The 20,632-nt window shown below is 42.7% G+C and overlaps 2 protein-coding genes across 3 annotated transcripts in view, besides 6 other annotated features; both read right to left on the bottom strand.

Moving 5' to 3' along the window:
• The window catches only part of CD38 (CD38 molecule), a 74,905-nt gene extending 71,452 nt beyond the window's left edge, over positions 1-3,453 (bottom strand). For both annotated transcript variants that reach the window (NR_132660.2, NM_001775.4), the window contains exon 1: positions 3,134-3,453. Coding sequence is in view for 1 of the 2 variants with exons in the window: in NM_001775.4 (NP_001766.2) it covers positions 3,134-3,366 (233 nt within the window). In the remaining variant the exon portion in view is untranslated. The remainder of the gene's footprint in view (positions 1-3,133) is intronic.
• Positions 2,695-2,744: a silencer, noted in NCBI's record as "silent region_15302". NCBI's record gives its function as "represses an Ori minimal core promoter by ATAC-STARR-seq in GM12878 lymphoblastoid cells {active_cell/tissue: GM12878}" and the evidence as "EXISTENCE:reporter gene assay evidence [ECO:0000049][PMID:35858748]".
• Positions 2,935-2,984: a silencer, noted in NCBI's record as "silent region_15301". NCBI's record gives its function as "represses an Ori minimal core promoter by ATAC-STARR-seq in GM12878 lymphoblastoid cells {active_cell/tissue: GM12878}" and the evidence as "EXISTENCE:reporter gene assay evidence [ECO:0000049][PMID:35858748]".
• Positions 3,026-3,668: an enhancer, noted in NCBI's record as "H3K27ac-H3K4me1 hESC enhancer chr4:15779736-15780378 (GRCh37/hg19 assembly coordinates)". NCBI's record gives its function as "activates a minimal SCP1, AML or CMV promoter by ChIP-STARR-seq in naive H9 embryonic stem cells {active_cell/tissue: H9 hESC(naive)}" and the evidence as "EXISTENCE:reporter gene assay evidence [ECO:0000049][PMID:30033119]".
• Positions 3,115-3,614: an enhancer, noted in NCBI's record as "active region_21345". NCBI's record gives its function as "activates an Ori minimal core promoter by ATAC-STARR-seq in GM12878 lymphoblastoid cells {active_cell/tissue: GM12878}" and the evidence as "EXISTENCE:reporter gene assay evidence [ECO:0000049][PMID:35858748]".
• Positions 6,953-8,152: an enhancer, noted in NCBI's record as "CDK7 strongly-dependent group 2 enhancer chr4:15775252-15776451 (GRCh37/hg19 assembly coordinates)". NCBI's record gives its function as "activates an origin of replication core promoter dependent on BRD2, BRD4, P300/CBP, MED14 and CDK7 cofactors, with strong dependence on CDK7, by STARR-seq in HCT116 cells {active_cell/tissue: HCT116}" and the evidence as "EXISTENCE:reporter gene assay evidence [ECO:0000049][PMID:35650434]".
• Positions 7,608-20,632, bottom strand: part of BST1 (bone marrow stromal cell antigen 1) — a 71,109-nt gene continuing 58,084 nt past the window's right edge. The window contains exon 9 of the mRNA XM_011513878.4: positions 7,608-7,674. Coding sequence (XP_011512180.1) covers positions 7,623-7,674 — 52 coding nt within the window. The 3' untranslated portion in view covers positions 7,608-7,622. The remainder of the gene's footprint in view (positions 7,675-20,632) is intronic.
• Positions 10,185-10,274: an enhancer, noted in NCBI's record as "active region_21344". NCBI's record gives its function as "activates an Ori minimal core promoter by ATAC-STARR-seq in GM12878 lymphoblastoid cells {active_cell/tissue: GM12878}" and the evidence as "EXISTENCE:reporter gene assay evidence [ECO:0000049][PMID:35858748]".

Below are 20,632 nucleotides of genomic sequence, written 5' to 3'. Positions count from 1 at the left end.
CGTGATGATTAATTTTAAGTGGCAATTCGCCCAGGCATGGTATCCAGATATTTGGTCAAACACATCTAGTTGTGATGTGAAGGTATTTTTTAGATTTTAAGTCAGGAGACTCGGTGTAAAGCATGTTACCCTTCATAATGTGGTGGGCCTCATCCAATCAGTTGAAGGCCTTAAGAGAAAGACCAAGGTCCCAGAAGTAAAAGAGAATTCTGCCAGAGACTGCCTTTGGACTCCAGCTGCAACATCAACTCTTCCCTGGGTCTCCAGGCTGCTGGCCTGTCCAGCAGATTTGGGGCTTGCCCGACTTCACAATGATATAAGCCAATTTCTTAAAATCTCTTTCTCTCTATTAATGTATTTATATTATGTTATATAAATGTTGTTTCTCTGGAGACCCTTACTACTATACTGTAGCATTAGTACTAGGAATGTGTGACAGGCAGGAGAGGAGAGGTCTAAAGGAGACTGTTAGTGCAGGCAAGATGGACTTGGGGGAAATTGTTAGCAACTAGAAGAAAGGCAGACCCTATTATGTCCTGGTAAAAAGTTTGGTAACACTGTCACCTGTCACAATACAAAGTGCAGAAAATATACCTAATGATCTTATAGGTTTGGTAAGGAGATTTCCAGGCAGAATGTTGAAAGTGCCAACTCACTTCTTTTTTTGGTTTGGTTTGGTTTGGTTTTGAGACGGAGTCTTACTCTCTTGGCCAGGCTGGATCTTGGTTCAGTGCTACCTCCTCCTCCTGGGTTCAAGCGATTCTCCCACCTCAGTCTCCAGAGTAGCTGGGATTACAGGCACGCGCCACAACACCCGGCTAATTTTGTATTTTTAGTAGAGACGGAGTTTCAGCATGTTGGCCAGGCAGGTCTTGTACTCCTGACCTTAAGTGATCCACCTGCCTGGGCCTCCCAAAGTGCTGGGATTACAGGTGTGAGCCACAGTGCCTGGCCCAACTCACTTCTTTTAGCTGTTTCTGATAAGGTGCAGAAAGAAAGAGAGAAAATAATTCTTTATTTTTTTAAAAGCAGAATCAAGAGCAAACATTTCCATGCCAGGATTTGTTGGGTTTGAAAATAAAACTGTCATTGTTAGTCTTTCCAAAGAATATCAAAAAAGAAATAGTCTCAAGGCAATGATCGAGTCCAGAGTGCTGCCAGTAAAACATGTTCACAAGGTCAAGATTTCAGGGATGTGGCTGTAAGACTGTATGTGTGTGTGTGTGTGTGTGTGTGTGTGTGTGTGTGTGTGTGTGTGTGTGAGAGAGAGAATATTATCTAAAATATATAAAAATCTCCCATAAGAAATAAATAAGCAGCTCAATAGAAAGTATCAAGTATCTGGACAGGAAAATCACAGAAAAAAATATAAATGGCAAATAAACATATACAAGATGCTTAGACTCACTGATACTGAGGGAACAATTAGATGCTCTTTTTTCTCTTAAGTAAAAAAGTTGAAAATATTCAGCATTCAAGAGATTGTGGGAAAGCATCCCCTCTGATAGACTGATGATGGGAGAGTAAAATGGCACAACTATTTTGGAGTATATATGGAATACCTGGAATTTGGAAAAATCAAAACTTAAAATATGCATAATTCTCCCTTTTACTCAGCAGTTTCATCACTAGAAATCTATCCTACAGAAATACTCCCATATGTACACACAATGTATGTATGAAGATTTTCATTGCATCATGTTTCTCCCAACTAAGGTGAAAATTTCATGAGTGAGAACTTCGTCATTCACTCTTGTGTCATCAGTAGCTAGATCACTGTCTGGAACATAGTGGGTGCTCAACAGATACTTGTTGGATGAATGAATGGGATTGAAAAATTGGAAACAAGCTAATTTCCTGTCAATAGGAAATGGTTACATCTAGTTTATGAAATACTATGGGCTGTCAAAAGAAATGAGATAGATCTTTATGTACTCACATTGAAAGATCTTCAAGACCAGTGTTACTTTTTTTTTTTTTAATGAGGTTGCTTTCTAACATTACCATTTCATTTTGGATTTCACTTCATACTTTACAATACAGCCTGGAGGAACGCCTCAACTTCTAGTTTCTCTCTCCATTAAGTATCTAATTATGTGTAAATAGAACAACTAACGGGACGCTGGGAAGCCCAGGAGGCAAACATTTTGCAACCGGAACTGTTGAGTGTGCTCGGAGAGGCGAGGGAGGTCTATTTGCTCGTTTCCTCGGATTGCTTAAATGCGGGATTTTGCTATCCCAAAGCACAGAGTGTAAAGTAGCAGCTCCCCCTGCCTGCCTTCCCGGCTTCTTCTGTTTTACAAGCAACGATAATTTCCCGGTGAAAGCGAGGCCTGGGAATCAAATCCAAAAAGTGGTTGTTCCCTTTAGGAGAGGTTAGTAGCTGGAAAGGAGCATGAGAAAACTGGAAGGTCCCATAGACTAATGTGTTTTTTTTCCAAGGTTTGTACAGATTCACCGAGTTGCTGCGCCTTATCATCTAAGTAATGTCTCGGTTTTAGAAGTTGACATTGTTTTGTTAATTACTTCTCTGGTCACATGCATTTCAGGCCGCGCAAAAAGAATCGGAGTGCTGCTTTATATAAATGAATAAAACTAAGTTCCGTGGTTTGGCCCTTCTACACCCTCCTCCCCTACCACAGGCTTTGCAAACCACTTAAGTGTCCTCTGTAACCGTCCGGGGGCACTTTCGGGTCAGAGACAGCGGGCGGAAACCGCAGAAAAAGTTGAAAATGTCAGCGACACCCTGCATCTGCGAGTTCTATTCCGTCCCTGAAGCGGTGAAGCGGGCTGAGCGCGCCGAGGGTGGGCTGCAGCCCGGCGAGGGGCTGGGCTCAGGGCACCTTGCCCAGAAGGCGGGCATCGGTGCCAAGTGTTCACCGGCTACGCAGCAGAGCCACCGAGCAGCGCCCCCCCCCGCCTCCCGCGGGCACGCTCGGTGCCAAGGCCAGCTGCTCCTGAAAGCGGCCCGCGGAGCCCCGAGCCCGGGACTCCCTACTCAGCACCACCCGGCGGGCTCTCGGCTGACCCGCCACGGAAGATGCCCGGTTCCGGGCGATCCGGGCGGCTTCCCTGCGCGCGGGGCCCTGCTGTCCCCGCAGTGCCCACCGGTGCGCCTTAGTCGCCAACCCACCTCATCTCAGGATGAATTTCAGTGTACTTGACGCATCGCGCCAGGACGGTCTCGGGAAAGCGCTTGGTGGTGCCCGGACCGCTCCACTGCTGGCGCCACCTCGGGACGACCACCGCGAGCACCACGACGAGGATCAGGACCAGGATACTGACGCCAAGACAGAGTTGGGCTCTCCTAGAGAGCCGGCAGCAGGGTTTGTCCCCGGACACCGGGCTGAACTCGCAGTTGGCCATAGGGCTCCAGGCGGGGTTGGCTGGGCGAAGATGAGGCCGGCAGGAGGCTAGGCAGCAAGAGAGAGGCTGGCTGGGTTCTGAAACTGCACCTCCCCTTCTGTTTCACTTGCCTTTTCTCTGTTTCCCTTCCCACCCCCAACCCCTTGCCTCAGAGTTCCGTGGCTGGTTACACCAATAAGAGTTTAAAAGACCAACAACTATAGGCTCCTGTGCAGTGACCCACCCACTCCACCTCCAGGGAGAAACAGCCACCTTAATCCTCTGCAGGTGTCCTAAGGGGGCAGACAGTACATCCTTATACTCCCTCCGCTAACTCCCTTCATCAACCGGGCACTTTACACCTGAGCCACATTTGCTTCCTGGAAAGCATGAGGGTGGGCTGCCTGCTTCTATACGTGTGTGCACACAATGCCCTCTGCCTGGAAAAGGATGTCCTACCTCTCTTTCTTAACTCTGACAAATGCCTGGTCAACCACCTTTAAAGACTCAACTTAAGTCTGACTCCTTCTCTCAAGAGGCATCAGTGGCTAAGCTCTGGGTTCAAATTTAGTTCTTGCTGGATGACATGGGGCAAGTTACTTAACCTCTCTGTACTTCAGATGTAAAGCCGGGATAGTAGCAGTACCTACTTCATGGGATTGTTACGAGGATTAAGTGAGTTAATATCTACAACGTGTTTAGCACAATACCTGGCACATGGTAATCACCCAGTAAATGTAAGTTGTTACTACCAGCTCTAGGAGCTGCTCAGAGATGCAATTTTATAGTCCATGGAATGTGTTTGAAGCAGGGTCTGGCACACAGTAATAATACTGCACTCTATGCGGGAGTTTAATAAATAATAAAGTGGCTTTTCTTGCCTCTTCTTTATTAAGAGAACATCTGTGACATTCAAGCAGAGACCTAAGTAATGTGAGCGATCAAGTCACCCAACTCCCTTGGGGCAAACATTTCCCAAGCAGAGGAAATGGCAGGTGCAAAGACTCTGAGGCAGAAAAGCTCTTGGCCTGTTCCAGAGCAGCAAGGAGGCCAATTGTAGTTAGGCTAGAGGGTTGAGGGAAACAGAACAGAAGTTCGGAAAGTAGCAGGAGACCAGATCACCCATAGCTCTGTAAGACAGGATGACTTTTTGGACTGTGTGTTTTATTTATTTTTTATCTTTTTTATTTTGTTTTAAGTTCTGGGATACATGTACAGGACGTGCAGAGTTGTTACATAGGTAAATGTGTGCCATGGTGGTTTGCTGCACCTATCAATCCATTGCTTAGGTATTAAGCCCCTCATGTTTTAGCTATTCTTTCTGATGCTCTCCCTCCCTCCACTCTCCCCAACAGGCCCCAGTGTGTGTTGTTCCCCTCCCTGTGTTCATTGTTCAGCTCCCACTTATAAGTGAGAACATGCAGTGCTTGGTTTTCTGTTCCTGTGTTAGTTTGCTGAGGATAATGGCTTCCAGCTCCATCCATGTCCCTGCAAAGGACATGATCTCGTTCCTTTTTGTGGCTGCACAGTATTCCCTGGTGTATATGTACCACATTGTCTTTATCCAGTCTGTCATTGATGGGCATTTGGGTTGATTCCATGTCATTGCTATTGTGAATAGTGCTACAATGAACATATGCATGCATGTATCTTTATAACAGAATGATTTATATTCCTTTGGGTATATACCCAGTAATGAGATTGCTGGGTCAAATGGTATTTCTGGTTCTAGATCTTTGAGGAATCCCCATACTGTCTTCCACAATGGTTGAACTAATTTACACTCCCATCAACAGTGTAAGTGTTCCTATTTCTCCACAACCTCACCAGCATCTGTTGTTTATTGACTTTTTAATGATCACCATTCTGACTGGCATGAGATGATATTTCATTGTGGTTTTGGTTTGCATTTTTCTAATGATCAATGATGTTGAGCTTTTTTTCATATGTTTGTTGGCTATATAAATGTCTTCTTTTGAGAAATATCTGTTCATGTCCTTTGCCCACTTTTTAATGGGGTTGTTTATTTCTTATAAATTAGTTTAAGTTCCTTGTAGATTCTGGATATTAGACCTTTGTCAGATGGATAGATTTTGAAAATGTTCTCCCATGCTGTAGGTTGTCTGTTCACCCTGATTATAGTTTCTTTCGGTGTGCAGAAGTTCCTGAGTTTAATTGGATCCCATTTGTCATTTTCGCTTTTGTTGGAATTGCTTTTGACATTTTCATTATGAAATCTTTGCCCATGCCTATGTCCTGAATGGTATTGCCTAGATTTTCTTCTAGGGTTTTTATAGTTTTGGGTTTTACATTTTAAATCTTTAATCCATCTTGAGTTAATTTTTGAAAAAGGTGTAAGGAAGGGATCCAGTTTCAATTTTCTGCGTATAGCTAGCCAGTTTTCCCAGCACCATTTATTAAATAGGGAATCCTTTCCCCATTGCTTGTTTTTGTCAGGTCTGTCAAAGATCAGATGGTTGTAGATGTGAGTCTTATTTCTGAGATCTCTATTCTGTTTCATTGGTCTATGTGCCTGTTTTTGGATTTTATTTTTAACCCATTCGTGTGCATTTTATTTTTACCCATACAAGTCACCAAATGACTTGATCTGGCATATTATTTTAAAGGATCAATCTGGCTTTGGTATTAAGAATAAATTGTAGGAGGATAAGGATGGAGAACAGTTACAATGGCTGTAGTAGCAGTAATGAAGGTGGCAAAGAAAAAAAAAGATGGATTCTGAATAGAGTTTGAAGGTAGCAGCAGCAGGATTTGCTGATGAATTGGATGTAGCATTTGCAAGAAAGAGATGAGTCAAAGATGATGCCAAGATTTTTTATTTGTGTAACTGACCAAAGGAAGGAAAGCACTGCAATCTACAGTGATGGGAAAACGGGAGGTGAAGTAGATTTGGTCTTGGGAAGAGGCATGAATCAAGAATTTGGTTTTTGATGTGCTAAGTTTGAGATGTCTATTAGACCCCCAACAGGAGGCATCAAGGAGCCACTTGGGTATAAGCTTCTGGAGTTTGGGCAAGGGATTAATGCTGGAGACACTAATAAGGGAGACCTTAGATATGGACAGTTCTTAAAGCCAAGAGTGTATATATAAGATCATGTGAAGAGTGTGTGCAGAAACAGAAGAGTTTCAGAGTCTCAGCCATGGGCTACTCCTGTGACAGAGGCCAGAAAGATGAGAGAGCTTCAGCAAAGAGAACTGGGAAGGATGATCCCTGAGACAAGAGGAAGGGTGCCCTGAAAGTTATTGATGATAGTGACAAGAGGAATCATTTTAGAGGAAAGATGAGGACAAAGCCCACCCACAGCAGGTTTAGGAGAGTATGTGAGAAGATAAGTGATATCAGTAAGTTAGCTGGGGTTTGCGTGTGTGTGGAGAGCTTTTCTGTAAAATGAAATCGAGAAATAAAGCCATAGCTAGAGGATGCTGGGCAGTCAGGAGAGAATATTTTGTTCTAAGTTGAGATTATCACAGTATGTTTGTAGGATGCTGGGATGACCCAGTAGGCAGGCGACAATTGGCAATTGCTCCAGTAATTTCCCTTGACCTGCTGAGCTCAAGCGATCATCCTGCCTCAGTCTCCCGAGTAGCTGGGACTACAGGCACGCACCACCATGGGCCTGGTTAATTTTTTGCAGTTATTTATTTATTTATTTTTGTAGAGGCAGGGTTTCACCATGTTGCCCAAGCTGGTCTTGAACTCCTGGACTCATATATTGGTGAGAGGTATCCGAAGCACAGGTGAGAGTGTGGGTAGGAGCTCCACCACCTCACAGAAGAAAGATGGAAAACACAGCTTTGGGGGTTGGGAGGTTCATGGATTTGGTGATGATGATGTGGATGTACTTTTCTGCTGCTTTTCAGTGAAATGAGAAGAAAAGGTCATCTTCTGAGAGTTGGTGGGGTGCTGGTAGACCTGGAAGGAGACCAGGAGAGCAAATGGACTGTGGGTTCTCAGGGTATCATCAAGTGGTCAGGAATTTTTTAAAAGGTCGGTTAGTAGGTTGCGTTCTTTTGCCCAGCCACTCCCCACTGTTTAAACAGAAGGGTGAAAGTGAGCAGAGTTGGATTTGACAGGGTTGGGGTTTGCTGTGTGTATTTGTGTTCTAGGGTTGCCATAACAAAGTGCCACAATGGGGTGGCTTAAGCAACAGAAATGTATTGACTCACAGGTCTGGAGGCTAGAAGTCCAAGATCAAGGCGTCACCAGGCTGATTTCTTCTGAGGCCTCTCTCCTTGGCTTGTAAGTGGCTGTCTTCTCACTCTGTCTGCACGTGGTCTTCCCGGTGAACTCCTCTGTGTCCAATTTTCCTGTTTTTATAAGAACACCAGTCATAGTGAATTTGAGCTCACTTTAATTACCCCATTTTAACTTAATTACCTTTTTGAAGCTATTACCCTATCTTCAAATACAGCCACATTCTAAGGTACTGAGGGTTAGGATTTCAACATATGAATTTGGGGTGTACACCATTCAGCCCCTAACACCAGTAAATATAACGGAGAAAAAAACGTCAGGGAAGTAGAAACTTTAAGCAAGAATGGGTTTTGTTTTTGGTTTTTATGGGTTGTTTTGTTTTTGGTTTTTGTTTGTTTGTTTTTGTTTTGTTTTGTTTTGTTTGAGACAGGCTCTTGCTCTGTCACCCAGGCTCTGGATGCAGTGCTGAGCCCGTGGCTCACTGCAGCCTTAACCTCCTGGGCTCAAGCGATCCTCCTGCCTCAGTCTCCTGAGTAGCTGGGGCTGCAGATGTGCACTACCACAACTTATTGGATTTTTTTTGTAGAGATGGGGTTTCGCCATGTTGCCCAGGCTGATTTCAAACTCCTGGATTCAGGCCATCCACTCTCCTCAAGGATGGGATTTTAATAATGGTCCATAACATCTAAGTCCCACAGAAACTGAAGTGGGGGCAAAAGAAGGGTGAGAGATCACGAAAAGATGAGAGAGCTCATGGCTGGGAGGTCCTGAAGGGACCAAAGAGTTGTTAGAAAAGACAACATTTGCATTTGAGTGCTTTCATAGGCAATGCAGACTCATTCTGTCCAAAACTAAACTTTTAATCTTTCTCTGTCAAACCAGCTCCTCTTCTGGTCTTTTGCATTTCAGTGAAAAGAACCAACATCTCCTGCAGTTACTCAAGCTAGAATTTTCCCAGTCTTTGACTCTTGCCTCTCCCTCGTTCCACATATCCACATGAACGACAGTTCCTACTGCCTGCAAATTATTCATTAAATATCCATTTCTTCATCTCCAGTGCCACTAACTTAGTCCAAGAGAAAGTTCACCTCCTTTCTCACCCAGGAAGAGCTTCCCCACCATTCTCCCAATTCCACTCTTTCCGCCTTCCTCCATGTATTGTCTATACCACAGTCAGGTTGGTGGGGTTTTTTTTCCAAGTCACCCCTTTCAAAGATATAACTTTTACAACATAATTCTGACTCCCTCCCCTCTTGCTCTGGACATGACAAGCAGCCTGTCTGTTGGCCCACGTCTGCTTCTCCAGCCTCCATGGTGCGTGCGCACCTCTGTCCCCAACAACTCCTATGCTTCTCCACTCCTGCTGGCCTTCTCTCTGTCCCCAACCAGCCCAAGCTCTCCTCTGCCTCTGGGACTTCACAGATGCCATGCCCTCACCCTGCTGACTCCTACTGACCCTTCATGTTTCAGCTTCAATGAGACATCCTCAGGAAGCCTTTTCTAACCCCACTCAGCTCCCAAGCTAGGTTCGATCTGCAAATTGTTGTACACTCTTCTCGCTGAATAACATAGATGCCAACAGATCTCCTGAGACAATACCCATCTCAGAGGCTCTGGTCTGGACCCCCTAGCCCAGGAATGCACACTCTGAGAATTTCTTCTGGGTGTCCCCTCCTCAGGAGACCAGGAGTTTGCACAAGGCTAGGTTGGCAGCAATTGAAATTTATTCTCTTAGTACCCTGGGATCAATCTGATGTCTATAAATGCTGGTTGAACAAACCAGTTAGTGAATGACTGAGAAATGTGGGTTTTGCCTCTGGATTCATTTCTGTTAATTTCTGACCTTGCTGTGTTCCCTCCTTTCTTCTGCTCTCTTGTTCTGGGCATGTACTTTCTTTCATGATCCTTATAGTGCAAGGTTCAAAATCAGTTACCATGCAAGAAGGTTTGCCACCTGCTGTTTATGAAACTGAACCATTAGGAATTATAGTTTTCCAGCTTGTGAAATGAAACATCTGAGTCCTGCCACAAAACACACCCCTTTGAAAAGGCTATTTGTTTCTGACAATAAATATGATAAACACACGTGGAATAAATGTCAAATAGATCAAAGGGCTAGATTCAGAAAACAATTCTTTCTTCTTCCCTGAACTCCCCTCTTCCCATTTTAATGAACAAGCAGCATACAGAGAGAGAGAGAGAGAGAGAGAGACCTTCATTGTTTCATAAAAATTATAGCATAGGACATATCCTGTTGTGTACCTGGCTTTCCTCACATACTAATGTATGTTGAAGACATTAAACACCAGCACAGGTTGCTTACCCAATTCTTTTAGATGACCCCTAGAATTCTACTGTATAGTATGCTAGAGTTTACTTAACTAGACCTGTATAAATGAGCACAGAATGCTACAACAAATGTTCTTGTGGCAGCATATTTTTTAGGTGTCCAAGTACATACACTCCTAAAAGTGGACTTCCTGGGTCAAAAGACACAAGCACTTATAATTTGGAAAGATATTGCCAGCCAAAGGCTGGTACCAGTTGGCCCTCTCACTGACGGTAGCTGAGAATGTGGGTTTTTCCACACTCACACAGTTACAGTTTCAAGTTTGTTTTGTCTTCCTTTCTGATTATTAATCACCAGGGATTTGGCACCTTCAGATGTTAGTTTCTCTTTCTGTGAAATGTAATAAACACTTGAGAAAATAAAACCTAAAGGAACCCTATAGCCCCTTACTTCTGCTACATCACTTGGTTTGTGAATATTCTCATTTTGCATTTTATCTTTCTGCAGGCAAGAAGCTTGGCTACAAACGTCTAACACTGTGGTATATTTGGGGGGAAGAAGATAATGCACAAGGAACTACCCAGATCCTCCTACCACACCCTGTTGCTGTAGTATGATTTGGGGCAAGTTACCAATATTTTTTAATTTCTATTTTCTCATCTGTAAAATAGGTGCAGTGCAATGTCTACTCATCAGCTTGAAGTGCGGATTAATTGGTAATGTACACACCTAGAACACGCTAGACACTCAACATATGGTAATATCATTATTGCAGACTTATTTGTGCATAGTTACACTGCACTGAGGCTTGAAAAATGGCATATTCTGATATTCATTTATTCAACAAATATTAAGGACCCACCATGGGCCAGGTACTGTGTTAAGTATTGAGGGCACAGAAATAAACTAGCCTTGAGGAATCCCTGTATAGCCCAGCACTTAAGAGCACTTGGTGGTCAGGTAGACCTGGGTGGGCTTTGCTATTTGGGCAAATAGTAAAGCTTCTCTGAAGGACAAGTTTCTCATCTGTCGAACAGGCTGAAAAATATCTGTGGCCGTCATTGAATTCTTTTGAGAGTTGAATCAGGTAATGTGTATAGGGAACAGAGCTGAATGTCTGGCCCCTAGCAAGTAGTCAACAAATAAGCATTAATATTGCAGTGGTGATGTAGCAAACAGGGGGAATCAGAAGGAATCGGAGTGGTGTTTGTTTATTTGTTTGTTTGTTTTGAGACGGAGTCTCACTCTGTTGCCCAGGCTGGAGTGCAATGATGCAATCTCGGCTCACCGCAACCTCTGCCTCCCGGGCTCAAGCGATTCTCCTGCCTCAGCCTCCCGAGTAGCTGGGAGGCACGTGCCACTGTGCCCAGCTAATTTTTGTATTTTTAGTAGAGACGGGGCTTCACCATGTTGCCCAGGCTGGTCATGAACTCCTGACCTCAGGTGATCCACCCGCCTCGGCCTCCCAAAGTTCTGGGATTACAGACGTGAGCCACCACACCTGGCCCGGAGTAGTTTTTAGGAAGCCTTTGAAAAGACAGTGACACCACAGCAGGCTGTTGAAGGGCAAGCAAGGTTTGCAAAAAGGAGGGAACAGCATATAAACAGAACGGCGGGGAGAACAACAGATTTGGGGACACCTGGGGACAAGAGGCATGACTATCTCCAGGCCACACAGCTGGTTAGTAGAAACATTGGTTCTAGAATAAAAAGCACACATGTTCTTCTTTCTTTGGTCAACTTCATTAGTCATTTTAAAATCATTCAAGTAAAAAAAAAAATCACATTTTAGCCATGCCCGGTGGCTTACGCCTGTAATCCCAGCACTTTGGGAGGCCAAGGTGGGCGGATCACTTGAGGTCAAGAGTTCGAGACCAGCCTGGCCAACATGGTGAAACCACGTCTCTACTGAAAATACAAAAGTTAGCCAGGCGCAGTGGCACACACCTGTAATCACAGCTACTCAGGAGGCTGAAGCAGGAGAATCACTTGAGCCTAGGTGGTGGAAGTTGCAGTGAACTGAAATCGTGCCACTGCACTCCAGCCTGGGCGACAGAGGGAGATTGTCTTTAAAAAAAAAACAAAAAACTACATTTTAAAAGTGGAAATAGAGCAAAGAAGAAAAATGCTCCCACTCGTAGCCCAACTACCACTAACATTTTGGTAGTATCTTGCCTTTTTTTCCCCTAATCTTTGTTAGCTTTAAAAATGATTAAAAAATATTATTTGATATTGTAAACATATATATACATATATATATAGAGAGAGAGAAATTCTGTTCTTTCTGCTTCACTGTGTATACGTGGCTCCTTCCAGGCCATATGTCCTCTCCCAAACCACCAGAGCCCAGACTCCAATACCAGCTCTCCACCCCCACTAGCTCTTTGAGCCTGAGCATCTCATGTAACTCCCTGTGGCTCAGGCTTGCTGCAAGAACATGTGAGTGTACATGTCAAGCAAAAAGCAGCCAATTTCCCTGGGAAAGCTTCTAGAAATGGGGGAGCCTCCTCTCTTCAGTTCCCCCACTAGAAGGGCAGCTCCATGCCAACAGGGCCGTTGCCTGCCTTTGTTCACCAGAAATACCAAGTTCTCTGTCCCTAGCACCAGAACCATGCCCAGTATGTGGTTGGCACTCAAGCAACGCCTGCAGAATAAGCAGCTCCTTCTCCCACAGTTCAAACTCAGTGACAACAGGCTGGACATTCACCAACAGATCCAAGGTCTTCATCGGATTCACCGGCTAAAACCATCTATCAACAAGCATCTGTTGGCTCATTTGCTGAGAAATAAGGCACAATGTTGAAGGGAGAAAAGGGAGATGCTGGAATTCATACATAATTCTTGTTTTTTTTTTTCTTTCAACAATAATTGCTAACATCGTTGAGTGTCAGGTCCTTTGTGAACTGTACCCTCACAACACTGCCATCATGTAAACATGTGATGATTTTCATATTGTAAATGTGAAAATAAAGGCTTACAGTTGACAGACTCAGTCTGTTCTCAAAGGGGATTTATGCCCCATAGTGGGAACTTCTGGAAACATGCTCTTGGGTACGGGTCTGTGGCAGCTGTCAGGAGGGCTTTTTTTTCCCCAAGCCAAACTGTATTCAGTTTTATTAAAGATACTGTCCATCGGCCGGGCGCGGTGGCTCACGCCTGTAATCCCAGCACTTTGGGAGGCTGAGGCGGGTGGATCATGAGGTCAGGAGATCGAGACCATCCTGGCTAACGAGGTGAAACCCCATCTCTACTAAAAATACAAAAAAAAATTAGCCGGGCGCGGTGGCGGGCGCCTGTAGTCCCAGCTACTCGGGAGGCTGAGGCAGGAGAATGGCGTGAACCCGGGAAGCGGAGCTTGCAGTGAGCCGAGATTGCGCCACTGCAGTCCGCAGTCCGGCCTGGGTGACAGAGTGAGACTCCGTCTCAAAAAAAAAAAAAAAAAAAAAAAAGATACTGTCCATCAACACTCATGGTATTTCAGCAGGACATGGGCAGACAATCATTAACAGTATACAACAACTTTCAAACTCTCTTCTTCCATGGACTACCAAAAATCAGAAAGCCACTCTAAAACCCATGAAGCTTTCGACTGATGCTCTAAACAGGGAAAGTTTAGAGTGAGGGTTGACATTTCACATTTAGCGCATTGTTTAACAACTTTAAATTCTGCCATTTTTATTTCACTTCCTGAAAGTCAGGGTTATCTGAAGATCCACAGTCTAGAATCGGAACCGCTGCTCTTTGGAGGGGCAGCATCTCAGTGGCATCACTGGAAAGTCCAGATTGCCTAACACACTGGTAACCAATTATTGGGGGTCAGGTCCCAACAGGTGTCTGGATTTAAGGGAGTTAAGTCTGTGCTGAAAGGTAGAAAGGAAGAAGAGGATTTAAAAATGAATGATTTTGTTTTTCCATACCACAAAGCTTTTGTGCCAAGGTGACCATGTGGTCAAAGTCAGGGAATCCCTCCTCCTGGGAGCCAAGAGGAAGTCTTTCAAAACTACAAGGGGGCTGAGCATGGTGGCTTATGCCTGTAATCTCAACACTTGAGGAGGCCGAGATGGGCAGATCACTTGAGGTCAGGAGTTCGAGACCAGCCTGGCCAACATGGTGAAATTCCATCTCTACTAAAAATAAAAAAAAAATTAAAAACTAGAAGGGAAAAGTGTTTTCCCCACATCAATCCAGCTTCAGAGACATTCTATTAGTGACGTATGCCCCTTCCCCAAAAAAACAATAAAGTGTTCTGTGTGCTAACAACATAGCTTTAAAAAGAGTAAAACAAAATTCTGATTTTTATAAAACTTGATTAAAAAAAAAAAAGTAGGGCCGGGCACGGTGGCTCACGCTTGTAACCCCAGCACTTTGGAAAGCCGAAACGGGCAGATCACAAGGTCAGGAGATCGAGACCATCCTGGCCAACATGGTGAAACCCTGTCTCTACTAAAAATACAAAAAATTAGCTGGGTGTGGCGGCACGTGCCTGTAGTCCCAGCTACTCAGGAGGCTGAGGCAGGAGAATGTCTTGAACCCGAGAGGTGGAGTTTGCAGTGAGCTGAGATCACACCATTACACTCCAGCCTGGTGACAGAGCAAGACTCCATCTCAAAAAAAAAAAAATTGATAAAAAGTAGTATTTCAAACTGTGCAGCCACCAGAAGTACACAATTTTCAAAAATGCACACATTTCCCTCGGCACCCCCAGCACCTTTGGCTTTCTGTGTGCCACGTCTGTTCGGGCATATCCATTTTCTGCAGGGTTATCCGCTCCTTGCCAGCGTCAACTTTTCCCTTTGGGTACTTTCTCTCCCTTCTTTGCAGGGGTCTTTTTAGGCTTCGGCTCTGGCTTTGGAGGGGCAGGGTTAGCAGACAACTTGCAGATCTACTATGTGGTTCATGCTTCACCTTGGCCTTATCTACTATAGCATCCCCTTCAGCTGTTCTCTTGGGCATGCTGGCAACGGCAGTGGGACATGGGCACTGGGCGTGGGATGCAGCAACGTGTGGGCATTGGTTGGTCCAGGGATTGTTCTCCCCTTTTCTTCACACTTCTTCTGGTCAGAAGGCTTTGAGTGTCACCAGGAAGCTCAGGGTTAACCTGTTTTTTTTTTAGGGAGGTCTTTTTTTTTTTTTTTTTTTTTTAGGGAGGTCTTTGTCTCCTCAATATGTTTTGTGCCTCCTCAAGTCAGGATACCATCACGAAAAGAAGAATAGATAAATGCTGAATGTCAAAAACAACAGAAAAGCATGCTCGTTGATGCCACACAGATCACACCTGTGACCTGCTTCTTTCTAGCAGATTCATGTAAGACAGCTGCATGATTTCTCCTCCCACATCCTGAAACCGAGCAAGGCTGAATCTTGTATTTACTACTCTTTCTGTATTTTTAATGAAATAAGAGTAAATAGAACTTGGCAAGATGCCTCAAAATGCTTTTAATTCACTTGGGCTGCCTGCCCTTCATTCTAGGCTTCCTTGTTTATTTCATCAGAGTAAAGACAGGAGTTCATCAAAAGTCAGCTTCTCAGCCACATCCTCCCTTAGGTCTGACCGCAGCTTAACAGATCTGGTGACTTTTCAGCTCTCCCACTGCCCCACCTCCCTCATCCAGTTGTTTTTCCTTAACCTTCAGGTGACAGTTTAGACACTCCAAATCTGAGACATCTTTTACAGGCCTTCATGTCTGGATTACAAGCTCGTATCATGGATAACCATATGCATCCTATACTTCCTGATTTTTTGGGACAGTTTTGCCACCCTACCTCCATCCCCAACTAGATTATAGAAGGATGCCAAACAGTCTTTGTCTCAGGTACGTCCTCAGTGGCTAGCAAGTCCCTGGTGCTTAGAGGGCACTGCACAACTGTATGTTGATGAGTATCACACTGTAATGCAATTCTTTTGACTTCCATCCCCTTATTCAGCCATTTGTGCATTAAATATTTACTGAGCACCATGAACTATTTTAGTACTGGGTTTATAGCTGTTAAACAAATTCGGTTGCCAGAAGCTTATGTTTTAAAGGGGAATCGACATATAATAGACAAGATAAGTAAACCATAGCACATGCGAGGTGATGATGAGGGCTAAGAAACAAACTCAGCAGGGAACAGGATAAAGACTTGGGGGAAGGTTGCAATTTTGGGTAAAGGACCAAGGAAGGTCTCACTCAGAAGGTGGCACTTGGGTAAGAATCTGAAGAAGGTGAGGTGAAATCTGGGGGAACAGGGCTCCAGACAGAGAAGAGCAATTGCAAAGGCCCTAAGGCAGAAGCAAGCCTGGTGTGTTCAGAGAACAGCAGAGGTCAAGTAACAGGTGCATGGCACAGGAAGAACAAGGAGGAAATATGTGGGAGATGAGGATAGAGATTTAATTGTGTGTTTGGGACCCGGAGATAGGCAGGCGCTGGTGCACAAGAGTGACATGTCCCGACGTGTTTTGTCAGGCTCACTCTGGCTGTTTGTTGAGCAGAAACGGAAGTGGGGCAGGGACAGAAGCAACGAGGCCATTTTGGAAGCCATGGTGCCATAATCCTGACAAGAGATGATGGTGCCTTGCACTGGGTTGGCATCAGCAGATGCAATTAAATTCTGAATATATTTTAAAGGTACAACAGACCGGATTTGCCGATAGAGTAAAGAGACAATGAGAGTAGTCAGAGACAACTCCAAGATTTTTGGCTTGAGCAACTGGAAGGATGGAGTTGTCGTTTACCAAGTGGAGAAAGACTATGAAAGGAGAATTCATTGGAGGTATGTCAAGTTTAAGATGCCAGTTATGTATCCAAGTGAAAATGTTGAGACAAACACCGTGCCATGCTCCACAAAGGTTAACTTGTTCAATCCCCATAAGAACCCCATGAGGTAAGTAGTACTGACCCCATCTTACAGGAAAGAGACTGAAGCCTGAAGCCCAGAGAGGAAGAGTGACTTTTCCAAGTTTACCTAGCTGGTTGGTGGTGGAAGTGGGGAACTGGGATTCAAACCTATGCAATAGGGCTCTGGAATTCATGCTTTTCTACACTTTGCAAAACACACACACACACACACACACACCTCACCTAATTCTAGTCACTTAAGATATTTCTTGCCATGAGCAGTCATTGAGCCCATTTATGAGCCAATCACTGTGGCCAGGGACTGGAGTGCTCCAATTAGATTGGGTCTGTGTCACTTTCTGTGGGCCTGATCTTGGGGGTGGAGGCCCACATCGGTTGAGAGTAAAGCAACAGGTAGCTCTCCAGAGGAAAATCAGGGTGTCGTCACCAGAAATAGGGTGAATAGATGCTGAATATATATATTTCTTAAAACCCATTCTGATATCAAATTAAGCCCATCATAGCACATGGACAAAGTTTATATATGAGCCATTCTTTATATGCATTTCAAACACCCAGAACACCAACTTGTGCCAAAATTTTCTCAAAAGATTTTCTAATAAGATGTTTACTTGATTTCCTAGGACAATTACACTTTCCGTTCTTATATTCTAACACAAAGAGGCTGAAGGTCAAATATCTCAGCTGAGGGGAGGAATACATTCTTGAATATTTAAGAAGCAACTGTGCAATGCTTTCTCAATGCAGCATTTTTCAGAGCAAGTTAAAAACAAAAGCAAACAAAAATTCCAAAAGAAAGCCCCAAATATAATTCATTGAAAATAGGGATACTGAATATCATTCACTGATTTTTTTTATTTTACTTCATTTTTTAGAGCAGCTTTAGGTTTACAGCAAAATCCAGCAGAAAATACAGAATGTTCTCCTATTCTCCCTTCTCCCTACACATGCACAGTCTCCTCCACTATCAACATCCCACCCAGAGGGGTATATTTGTTAATATCAATGAGCCAACATTGACTTCTCATTATCACCCAAAGCCCATAGTTTACATTAGCGCTCACTCTTGATATTGTACATTCTAGAGGTTTCAACAAAGGTAGAGTGATGTCCACACACTATTATAGTATCATACAGAATTGTTTAACTGCTCATTCATCACGTCCTCTCTTCAACCTCAGACAACCATTGTTGTTTGTTTGTTTATTATCACTGCAGTTTTGCCTTTTCCACAATGTCATACAGCTGGAATCATACAGTATGTAACCCTTTCAGATTGGCTTCGTTCACTTAGCAATATGCATTTAAGGTTCCTTTATGTCTTTTCATGGCTTAATAGCTCATTTGTTTTTAGCACTGAATAATATTCATTTGTCTGGATGTACCACAATTTATCCATTTACCAACTGAAGAATGTCTTGGTTATTTTGTTTTGTTTCCTGACAGTAAATTTTTCTTACTCTAATAAATTGTAAAATTCTGCTTATTAATATTTTACTAAATAATTAGTAATCAAAGCAAAGTTCAAATGTATATTTCAGAAAGACATTCCTTCGTAAAAAGTAATAAGCTCTACAAATAATTTTTCAGGTTATAATAGCAATTGTGTGCTTATATATAATTTTGAAAAATAAGAAGCGTACAAAGAAAAAATACAACTACTTGTAACTTCAAAATTCAGAAATAAATGGCATTAATATTAATATTTTGGTGTATTATATATACATTTTCCCAGGAATTTATATCCTAAGATTTTAACTCCACATTATATGATACATATTTTGCCTTATCTTTAAATATTCTTCCTTTTTAAATTTTTTCCTCCTGTATACATACATGGATAAATATTCTTCTGAAATAGCATTTTAATTTATTTTATTTTAAAACATATTCTAAAGCTACAATCTTTAAAAGTCATGTAGAAAAAAGTAACTCAGCTCTTTAAATTAGATTGTCAAAAACATCAAGAGCCTAGAAATAATTTTTTTCTTTTCAAAAATGCATTTATTATACATTTCCAGATCAATAGTGTAATGCATGGTTTTTTGAAAAGTAATGGGAAAATAACCTCATGTTCATTACAGCATTATTCACAATAGCCAAGATATGAAATCAACCTAAGTATCCATCATATTCACCAATGGATGAATAGATAAAGAAATTGTGGTACATATATACAATAGAATATTACTCAGCCATAAAAAAGAAGGAAATCCTGCCATTTGTGTCAATTTGGATGAACCTGGAGGACATTATGCTAAGTGAAATAAGCCTGACACAGAAAGACAAATACTATATGATTGCACTTATATGTGGACTCTGAGAAAACCAAACTCATAGCAGAGAGTAGAATGCTGATTGTCAGGAAGTTGGGGTTAGCAGAAATGGAGAAATGGTCAAAAAGTACAAACTTTCAGTTATAAGTTCAGATAATCTAATATAAACCAAACTCATAGCAGAGAGTAGAATGCTGATTGTCAGGAAGTTGGGGTTAGCAGAAATGGTGAAATGGTCAAAAAGTACAAACTTTCAGTTATAAGTTCAGAGAATCTAATATACAACATGGGTGGTGATGGATGTGTTCATTTGATTGTTGTAAGCTTGTATGCTTTGAATATATTCAATCTTTATTTTTAATTAAATATTTTTAAATGAAATGAACTTTAAATGTAATAAAATATAAACAATTACAAATAAGCTTATGAAAAACACCCATAATCATACTACCTAGAGAAAATTATGTTTTTACTTACCTTTCTACTTATGTGTGTGTGTATACATATATGTATATATGGGTGTGTGTGTATAAAAGAAAGTTGTATACATACATACACACACATATGTATGCATGGTTTTGAATTAAGTTCTTTCTATTTTTTTTTTTTTTTTTTTTTTTTTTTTTGAGATGGAGTCTCACTCCGTCGCCCAGGCTGGAGTGCAGTGGCGCGATCTCGGCTCACCGCAACCTCTTCCTCCCAGGTTCAAGCGATTCTTCTGCCTCAGCCTCCCGAGTAGCTGGGACTACAGGCAGATGCCACTATGCCTGGCTAATTTTTGTATTTTTAGTAGAGACGGGGTTTCAGCATATTGGCCAGGCTCGTGATCCGCCTGCCTCGGCCTGTCTCGGCCTCCCAAAGTGCTGGGATTACAGGCATGAGCCACCGCGCCCGGCCGAATTAAGTTCTTAAAACCATCTACAAAAAAAGAAAATAGCACATAAACACGAAAATCATGTAACAAAAGCTCACTCATTCATTCATTTATACACTCAAAACCTGTGTTGAGCCTCTGCTATTTACCTGGCTGTGGGCTGGGTTCCAGGAATATAAAGACCTTCTGGACAAGGTGTCTGTTCTGTGCATGTCTATATTCCACCCAGGAGAAGGAATTTCTATCACATAAGAATAATTTATCACTGTGCACACCATCATGCAAGCTCAAGCACAGAAATGTGGTGGCAAAAGTGAGAGAATGGTGAATTGACTAAAATTACAACTTCATCCAGATTCTCATTCATAAATTATTTTCTCATATTTTATGTTTTAAGCTTGGTTTTCTAGCTACCAAGCTAGCAACAGACAGGAAGATAACAATAAAGAAATTACTTTCTTGTTTTTTAGCACTTCAATACGTTCCCTGTATTATGGTATACATGTATTGCCACATACAATTTTATCTCACTTAAGTTTCATGCTCAGTTAATTTCTTTTCCTTTCCAAGTGAGAAGGTGGCACACAGGACAACGCAAAAAAAGCCTCTTTCCCAGAACTGTACAGCTAGAGTAGAATTTTAAAACTCCATTTTTAACAAACAGCAATTGCCAATTTACAAAACTATATGCCCATGGAGAAACCCCATCTCCACTAAAAATACAGAAAATTAGCCGGGCATGGTGGAACATGCCTGTAATCCCAGCTACTCGGGAGGCTGAGGCACAAGAAT

The sequence above is a fragment of the Homo sapiens genome, chromosome 4 (genome assembly GCF_000001405.40).
Source record: "Homo sapiens chromosome 4, GRCh38.p14 Primary Assembly".
NCBI classification, from domain to species: Eukaryota; Metazoa; Chordata; class Mammalia; order Primates; family Hominidae; genus Homo; species Homo sapiens.
The sequence above is the reverse complement of the archived record's forward strand: the minus strand, read 5'-3'. Positions and strand labels throughout refer to the sequence as shown.